Consider the following 8,144-nt stretch of genomic DNA (forward strand, 5'->3'; position numbering starts at 1 on the left):
CCACCGACCGCCAGTCCTGTCCTCCCCTGGACAGTAAAGGTTTCTCCAAGACTTCAGACCATGGTGTCACCTGAGGCCCACACCTGTTAAGTCACTGGGGCAGGTATGCGTGGCAGAGGACAGCGAGGAGTGCCGGAGAGGAGCTGAGGCCTGGAGGGGGCCTCTTCAGCCAGGTTCAACCCCCACTCTCCCCACTCCAACAGCCCTCACTGCAGCCACCGCGGCCCAATCCAAACAAAGCCCAGCCTTATGCCAACCTCACTATCAACTGTTTTTCCTCTGACTTCCTCAGTTTTGTCTGGGAAAAATCAAGGTGTCTTATCCCATCTCTAAGCTTCCAGGGGTGTGATCAGTGTCTTTTACAATTACCTTTTACTTTTATCCAGCATTTCTTAGCTCAGTTGGCAAACTGGATATTTATGCAGCTCCATTTCACAATCCATCCCCACCAATTATTCCTGTGAAACTAACATTTTGATTTTTTTTTTTTTAAAGGTTAGAGCTACTTAAGAAGGTTATGTAAACAAGTTAACCAGCAGGCCACAACTTGGGTCTGGGGTGTCAGAGAAAACATGCAAGGTGGAAGAGAATGAGGAGCTGACGGTCACCAGCTTTACCTCCTTCCAGCACCCACTCCTGCTCACACACACTCACACTCCGTGGGACTCAGCCTGCAGCTTCTCCCAGCCCAAGAGCCAGACAGTGGGGACGGGCACAGACCGCACTTCCTAACAAATGAGAGGGAAGACTTGGTGCCCCATTGCTACTGCCATCACCCAGTCCCAGCCCAGCCAGGGAGCCCACTCCAAGGGCCCCCCAACAGTACTGCTAGAGCCCACCGAGGGCTGCCGGCACACAGCTGCAAGGTCCAGCTTTATCTGCTCACGCCCTGGACACTGCCCGGAGCCCCAGCAAGTTCCACGTGTCCTTAACACCCCAGCCCTCCTGCCCCGCAGTTCCTAAGCTCAGGAGACCCTCTCCAGCCCAGGCTGAAGGGGGAGGCAGCCCCCACGGTCACCCAGGAATCAGCGCAGAGTGCAGGGCATCCTGGACTCCCCGGACTGGGAAACCCAGTTCCTGTCCCCCTGCGTAGTGGCCACACCTCTGGGAGGGGAGAAACCCCTGCCTCACCTCACTGGAGGGACCCTGACCCAGAGGCCTGAGAAAAAGCCACCTGCAGGCTCCTGGCAACTGCCAACCTGAACCTTAGGAAAACTTGTCCCACTTCAACCTGCAAAGCTCTCAGATCATTATTTCTAAAACCACTGTCCTTTCTCAACGAGGAAGAAAATAGAAACAAACAAACAAAAGCAGAAAGAGGCACAGGAGGTTGAAGAGGCCAGAGGCAGTTTAGCCCAAAAACAAAGTGCCAGACGCAAGATGCGAAGTTTGGGGCGCTTCATCCACCGCATGCCCGTTTAAGAGCTGACTGCACTCAACCACAGATTTACGTCTGGTGCCTGCCAGGTCGTATCTCAAGAGATCTGAAAAAATAAGCCTTTCTTCTGCCAATAAATACTAAGACTAGCAGGCCCCTCTAAGGCTCTGCTCTCCACTGGGGTACCGCAGGACAGGCCCCTCGGCGGGCGTTCCCCGCACCCTCCCTCCGCGTCGGCCCCGGGGAAAGGAAGTTCACCCCTCGCCTGGGCTTACCAATGCCCGCCGCCCGACCCATGGAGCCCTGCTTGGGGACTGGGGGCCTCGATGTTCTCCTTCACCATCTGCGGCCAGATCTCCCTCCAGCAGCCTTGCCAGGCAGTGCCTGGCCTGGAGAAGGGGCCCTGCCCCTTCCGGGGCAGGTCTCCGGGAGGGGCAGGTCCGCGGCGTGCCTCCAACCCGGCGCCTGCAGCCCCGGGGCAACAAGGTGTGGGGTTTTTAATTGAGAAGTTTTTCTCTCTGGGCCTTATTATACAGGAAAAGGGAAGGGGCGAAGATCCGGGCTCGGGTTCTCCCGGGGAAGCGAACCCAGAGGCGACCCCAAACTCAGTAGTTGCCGCCCAGCTCGGGGACTTGATGCCGGCGTCAAGCGGGGCAGCGGAACGCACCAGCGGCCCGGCCAGCCCAGCGAGATCCGAGCGGGCGGCCCCGCCAGACAGCGCCACTTGCCCGCGCCGAGAGTGGCCCCTCACCGCGGTGAGCCCCTCCCGGGATGCGAGAGTATTGCCTGGTCCCCGCCGCACCCGCCCGCCTGTCGTGGGAGGAGGATGGGCCGGTCCGAGAGGCGTAGGCCAGCCGGGCTGCACCCCTAGATCCCAGCGGCGGCCTCCCCGCAGCCCCGCCGAGTCCGGGGGGCAGCGCTCGGGAGCTCTTGGCCTGCAGCTTCCGCGCCGCCCCCCACGCGTCGGGGTCCCCGCGGCGCCGCGGGCGGCCCCAGGTTGCCGCCGCCAGGGAGTCAGGCAGCCAAGGTTCCCCAGCTTACCTGGCCAGGGCGCGGGGCTGCCCCGGTCCGCCGCCGTCCTCGCCCCGCAGCCGCCGGCTCCGTCCGGGAGGCTGAGCTCCTTGAGAGCCCGCACGTAGCGGCACACCGCGACTGCTAATTAGCCCGGAAGCTGAATAGCGGCGGGTACATACCGCAAGCGGAGTACGGAAAGCACGCAGGGCTGCCGCTACCTGGCGCACGCGCACTGAGCTGCGGCTGCCGAGCCCGCGCCCCGGTCCCTGCCGCTTTACCTCACCCGCTCTTGGATCACTGGGGCCGGGAAACGCTTCCCGGCGACACCGCGCGCGGGGAAGAGAGGGAAGAAAAAGATGCGTCCGTGCCGGGCGTTCACGAGGCCCTGCGGCCCCTGGCCCCGGCACTGGGACATCGGCAGGGCGGGCGGGTGCACCCAGGACCCGGGTCCAGCCGGGAGGATCTACGGGACCGGGGCTGGAACCCAGACGTTGGACGGCTCAGCGCCCCGAACGTCCCGGGCCCTGGGGAGCACACAGATGCCCGAAGCACGTCCCGGCCTTGCTGGCTGGGGAGTTGCAGGGGTCTGGTCTCGCGGGTAAAGCCGGTGAACGCGAGGCTCCGCATCCTGCCCCGGCCGCGGCGCTGCGCCCTGCTCGCTCTGCCCGGTGCAGCTGTAAGCGGGGACCTTAGAGCTAGGAACCCTCGGGGATCGCGGCCTCCGAAAGCCCCATCGGGCAGGGGAGGCCCCCTGCTGCCTCCCCACCGCAGCACCCCTAGGCGCATGCTGGACTCCAAGTCTTCCCTGCTGGTCCCCAGTAACCACCCTAGCACCCCATTTCTGATACTCTGCTGCTTTAGCCCCCAGCCCCAGGGCCTCACTCCAGGCCTTTCTCTCCTTGCTGTCCTGAATGGAGAGGACCCTGACCTCCGCGGGGCCCTGGGGAGCACACACTCCCAGACACTCACACACATCCCCAGGAGAGCCGGTCTTCCGCCCCCACAGCGCGAGAAATCGAAATCCCCTGGAGGCCCTGGGCGAAGGTCGTGCTGGAGACTCCGGTGTCACCTTCGGCCCTCTGGCCCTTTCATTGAGTCCCAGGCAGATGTGGTAAGCCGTGGGAGAGGCACAAGGTGCCTAGTCTGTGCAGAGTGGGACCTCAGCTGCCTCGCTCCCCCAAATCCTGGTGATTTGCCCTCGTTTTCTTTTCTCCTTGTGGCTGGACTAGGCGAAGCTGTGGCATGGGAAGTTCTGAAGACGGGGGGGGGGGCGGGGGGGAGGGGGAGCACAGAAGGACAGGGGGCCTGGGGGTTGAGGAGAGCCCATCTTCCTGCTGCCCTGAGGGCCTGACCTGAGACCCTGAGGAGAACGGGCTGGGGAAAACCAAATCCTGAGCTGCACTAGGGTTAGATACAGTGTGGACTTGGCCTCTGCACACCCTGAGCCTGAGTTAGGACAGCAGCTGTGAAATGAATGGGATTCAAGATGGGGTCTGATAAATCACATTTATATCCTCTTCTTCCATTCAACTAATGGATCAGTGTTTTTAAAAGTCTAAGCCACATAACAAAGAGGGCAGAAGGAAGTCGTTAGCAGATGAATGATTTCATCTGGAAGATGAAGAGGATTTAGAGATCTATGGGATAGATTCGAGGGCACAAGGCCAGAACATACGAAGAGGGTCTGGAGCCCGGGGGCGGGGGTGGCTGACCCGTCCGTCTGTGAGAACCTCAGGGAGCCTCCAGGCTCCAGTGCAGTGCAGGTATCACAGAGGGCAGAGTGGAAATGGGACTGGAACAGGTAGAATAAATGAAGATCCAGCATGGACAATTAATGCCCCTCCCCCCAAATCATGGATGCAGCCAGTCACTTACCCCAAAGAAAAAAATCAGAGATTCTCTCCAAAGAGAGTTGTGTACACTGCCTGGTGAGAGTGGGTGCTGCTAGTGTAGTTGTCGGTCCTCTGGAGGAAGCCTCCCTACCGTGGCATTTAAAGGTCCACCAGTGTAATGACTAGCTCCCACTCTAAGCTCTCCCCACATGCACATAACCACCATCAGCCTGTCCATAAAACTCCTTTAGATACGAAAGGAGAGAACGCCTATTTAATAAACGGTTCTGGGAAAACTGGCTAGCCATATGTACAAAGCTGAAACTGGATCCCTTCCTTATACCTTGTACAAAAATTAATTCAAGATGGATTAAAGACTTAAATGTTAGACCTAAAACCATAAAAAGCCTAGAAGAAAACCTAGGCAATACCATTCAGGACATAGGCATGGGCAAGGACTTCATGACTAAAACACCAAAAGCAATGGCAACAAAAGCCAAAATAGGCAAATGGGATCTAATTAAACTAAAGAGCTTCTGCACAGCAAAAGAAACTACCGTCAGAGTGAACAGGTAACCTACAGAATGGGAGAAAATTTTTGCAATCTACCCATCTGACAAAGGGCTAATATTCCAGAATCTACAAATAAATAAATTTACAAGAAAAAAAATCAAACAACCCCATCAAAAAGCGGGCGAAGGATATGAACAGACACTTCTCAAAAGAAGACATTTATGCAGCCAACAGACACATGAAAAAATGCTCATCATCACTGGCCATCAGAGAAATGCAAATCAAAACCACAATGACACACCATCTCACACCAGTTAGAATGGCCATCATTAAAAAGTCAGGAAACAACAGGTGCTGGAGAGGATGTGGAGAAATAGGAACGCTTGTACACTGTTGGTGGGACTGTAAACTAGTTCAACCATTGTGGAAGACAGTGTGGTGATTCCTCAAGGATCTAGAACTAGAAATACCATTTGACCCAGCGATCTCATTACTGAGTATATACCCAAAGCATTATAAATCATGCTGCTATAAAGACACATGCACACATATGTTTATTGCGACACTATTCACAATAGCAAAGACTTGGAACCAACCCAAATGTCCAACAATGATAGACTGGATTAAGAAAATGTGGCACATATATACCATGGAATACTATAAAAAAGGCAGCAATAAAAAAGGATAAGTTCATGTCCTTTGTAGGGACATGGATGAAGCTGGAAACCATCATTCTGAGCAAACTATCTCAAGGACAGAAAACCAAACACCACATGTTCTCACTCATAGATGGGAATTGAACAATGAGAACACTTGGACACAGGGTGGGGAACATCACACACCGGGGCCTGTCATGGGGTGGGGGGAGGGGGAGGGATAACATTAGGAGATATACCTAATGTAAATGACGAGTTAATAGGTGCAGCACACCAACGTGGCACATGTATACATATGTAACAACCCTGCAAGGTAATGGGTACAGCATACCAACATGGCACATGTGTACATATGTAACAAACCTGCATGTTGTGCACATGTACCCTAGAACTTAAAGCATAAAAAAAAAAATGTATCCTTATCCTGTTGCCATTTTGAAGCTGCATTTGCTTGTCCAACACTGGCTTTCAGTTTAAAAGAAGTGTACCTAAAAAGTTAACAAAACAAATGCTATACTTATGACAGTGCCTATGCTGTACTGAGAATGGTTAGGTGCTGTCGCATTTTACAGAAAAGATGTACTGATTTAGTTCAATACTGACTAACAAATCTAACCTTTTATTTATAAGATATTCTTCAGGACAGCATCAACACATGTAATAAGTAAAAGATCATATATGGATCATTTCACTTTTGATCCAGTCAAATATAAACAAAACTTAACCATTTTTATCACAGAATCAGTAATAGCTACCATTTGCTTTGTGTCTTCTATATGCCAAGCCTAACAATGGGCACCTTTGCCTAAATTAGTTTATTTTCTCCCTTTTACCAACCGCGTGAAATAGACATATCTTCATCATTTTACGTATGAGAAAACTGCAGCACTGACAAGTAGAAGAATCTACCTGAGTGCATTCTTTTTTTTTTTAATTTTAATTTTTTTTTTTGAGATGGAGTCTCGCTCTGTCACCCAGGCTGGAGTGCAGTGGTGTGATCTCGGCTCACTGCAAGCTCCGCCTCCTGGGTTCACGCCATTCTCCTGCCTCTTGAGTAGCTGGGACTACAGGCGTCCGCCACCACGCCTGGCTAATTTTTTGTATTTTTAATAGAGACAGGGTTTCACTGTGTTAGCCAGGATGGTCTCCATCTCCTGACCGCGTGATCCACCTGCCTCGGCCTCCCAAAGTGCTGGGATTACAGGCATGAGCCACCGCATCCGGCGTGAGTGCATTCTTAAGTTTAAAATCTGTAGGTTAAAATTAATTCTACCTATTTCCAAAACTTGTGACTTTTAATCTCGGCAACCTCACCTCAATAATCTACTATAAAGAATAAGCTTCCACTGTTCTTCACCTCTTCTTTAAGTGAAGGTTCCATCAAAGAAATACCTTGGAAGCTGAACATTTAAAACTTTATTATACTCTGAGCTAGTCCTGATGAAAAAGAACGAGACCATCACTACTTTAGATATTTTTTCTCAAAACATATTAAAATATGACTTGTTGAAGGATAATATATTTTAGTTAAACAATTGCCACTTAATTCACAGACTACATATTTTTTTTACCTACTGAATGCATTTTGTTTTTCGTCTGATGTGTTAGAATTTCTTTTGAAATGCTGAAGCTCTGTAGGCTGTTGCTCAGGCATTCCTGGTCTTTCTGTGTCTTTGGTTGCCATCCAGTGGCAGCAGCCATATACTGCAGTTGAGTAACAGAAAAGAGAAACCCTCTACTTTCCAAGATGACTGTGTTTTTTCATTCAAAAGTGAACAATACGTGTATTAGTCCATTTTCACACTGCTATAAAGAAATACCCGAGACTGGGCCATTTATAAAGGAAAGAGGTTTAATTGACTCACAGTTCTGCATGTCTGGGGAGGCTTTAAGAAACTTACAATCATGGCAGAAGGCAAAAGGGAAGCAAGGACCTTCTTCGCATGGCGTCAGGAATGAGAGGGAAGAGCGGGGGAGACCGCTACTTATAAAACCATCAGATCCCATGAGAACTCACCCACTATCGCGAGAACAGCCTGAGGGAACACTATCAGGAGAACCCCCATGATCCAATCACCTCCCATCAGGTCCCTCCTCTGACACGTGGGGATTACAATTGGAGATGAGATTTGGACAGGGACACAGAGCCAAACCAAATCAGTAGGTATTAATTTTGTGTACCTAATTTATGAAACTTTTAGCCCAAAATTAGTTCAGTATTTTCCCTTTTGCCAACCCTATGAAGTAAGTGTGTTTTCCTCATTTTATGTGAGAAAACTGCAGCACAGATAAGTAAAAGAATCTACTCTAGTTTCTATAATTATTAAGTTTCAGGGTTATGGGTTAAAATTAATTCTGTTTATTTCCAAAACAGATGCCTTTCTTAAGGAAAGCATCACACAGATAAAATAAATAAAAGGTAATATGTCTTATGTTTCTTTCAAGAAAAATGAAAGTTTTTTTCTAACATTTATTGTTTGTGACATTGATTTTGAAAAAAAAACTTGAATTATAAACATAATACAATTTGAAGACAAAATTTAAAGATAATATGAAATTATATGCACTTGAAGTAAAACTTTTGTCCCCACTGAGTCCAATGAAGATACACACGTATCTATATACTGACAAAAGACAGTTCTGCCTACATTTAAAAAAACAGTTTTTATTTTTATTTTATTTCTTTATTTATTCATTTTGAGATGGAGTCTCACTCTGTGGCTCAGGCCGAAGTGCAGTGGTGCGATCTTG

At 50.5% G+C, this 8,144-nt stretch overlaps 1 protein-coding gene across 2 annotated transcripts in view, besides 9 other annotated features; it reads right to left on the minus strand.

Moving 5' to 3' along the window:
- GOLGA8B (golgin A8 family member B) overlaps nt 1-2,555 on the minus strand; it is a 58,557-nt gene extending 56,002 nt beyond the window's left edge. The window contains exons 1-2 of one of the 2 annotated variants that reach the window (NR_027410.2): nt 2,420-2,555; nt 370-458 (exon numbers count right to left, since the gene is read on the minus strand). The gene's annotated coding sequence lies outside the window, so the exon portion shown is untranslated. The remainder of the gene's footprint in view (nt 1-369; nt 459-2,419) is intronic. The other variant, NM_001023567.5, reaches the window with a different exon arrangement.
- Nucleotides 1,856-2,035: a silencer, noted in NCBI's record as "silent region_6289". NCBI's record gives its function as "represses an Ori minimal core promoter by ATAC-STARR-seq in GM12878 lymphoblastoid cells {active_cell/tissue: GM12878}" and the evidence as "EXISTENCE:reporter gene assay evidence [ECO:0000049][PMID:35858748]".
- Nucleotides 2,066-2,295: a silencer, noted in NCBI's record as "silent region_6290". NCBI's record gives its function as "represses an Ori minimal core promoter by ATAC-STARR-seq in GM12878 lymphoblastoid cells {active_cell/tissue: GM12878}" and the evidence as "EXISTENCE:reporter gene assay evidence [ECO:0000049][PMID:35858748]".
- Nucleotides 2,376-2,705: a silencer, noted in NCBI's record as "silent region_6291". NCBI's record gives its function as "represses an Ori minimal core promoter by ATAC-STARR-seq in GM12878 lymphoblastoid cells {active_cell/tissue: GM12878}" and the evidence as "EXISTENCE:reporter gene assay evidence [ECO:0000049][PMID:35858748]".
- Nucleotides 2,828-3,329: an enhancer, noted in NCBI's record as "H3K4me1 hESC enhancer chr15:34876125-34876626 (GRCh37/hg19 assembly coordinates)". NCBI's record gives its function as "activates a minimal SCP1, AML or CMV promoter by ChIP-STARR-seq in naive and primed H9 embryonic stem cells {active_cell/tissue: H9 hESC(naive and primed)}" and the evidence as "EXISTENCE:reporter gene assay evidence [ECO:0000049][PMID:30033119]".
- Nucleotides 2,828-3,345: a biological region, named in NCBI's record as "H3K4me1 hESC enhancer GRCh37_chr15:34876125-34876626".
- Nucleotides 3,276-3,345: an enhancer, noted in NCBI's record as "active region_9182". NCBI's record gives its function as "activates an Ori minimal core promoter by ATAC-STARR-seq in GM12878 lymphoblastoid cells {active_cell/tissue: GM12878}" and the evidence as "EXISTENCE:reporter gene assay evidence [ECO:0000049][PMID:35858748]".
- Nucleotides 3,330-3,830: an enhancer, noted in NCBI's record as "H3K4me1 hESC enhancer chr15:34876627-34877127 (GRCh37/hg19 assembly coordinates)". NCBI's record gives its function as "activates a minimal SCP1, AML or CMV promoter by ChIP-STARR-seq in naive and primed H9 embryonic stem cells {active_cell/tissue: H9 hESC(naive and primed)}" and the evidence as "EXISTENCE:reporter gene assay evidence [ECO:0000049][PMID:30033119]".
- Nucleotides 5,858-6,058: a silencer, noted in NCBI's record as "peak2294 fragment used in MPRA reporter construct". NCBI's record gives its function as "represses an SCP1 promoter by STARR-seq MPRAs in K562 erythroleukemia cells {active_cell/tissue: K562}" and the evidence as "EXISTENCE:reporter gene assay evidence [ECO:0000049][PMID:32103011]".
- Nucleotides 7,232-7,526: an enhancer, noted in NCBI's record as "tiled region #9988; HepG2 Activating DNase matched - State 4:PromP, and K562 Activating DNase unmatched - State 1:Tss". NCBI's record gives its function as "activates a minimal TATA promoter and a strong SV40 promoter by Sharpr-MPRA in HepG2 and K562 cells {active_cell/tissue: HepG2 | K562}" and the evidence as "EXISTENCE:reporter gene assay evidence [ECO:0000049][PMID:27701403]".

The sequence above is a fragment of the Homo sapiens genome, chromosome 15, assembly GCF_000001405.40.
Source record: "Homo sapiens chromosome 15, GRCh38.p14 Primary Assembly".
Taxonomy (NCBI): Eukaryota; Metazoa; Chordata; class Mammalia; order Primates; family Hominidae; genus Homo; species Homo sapiens.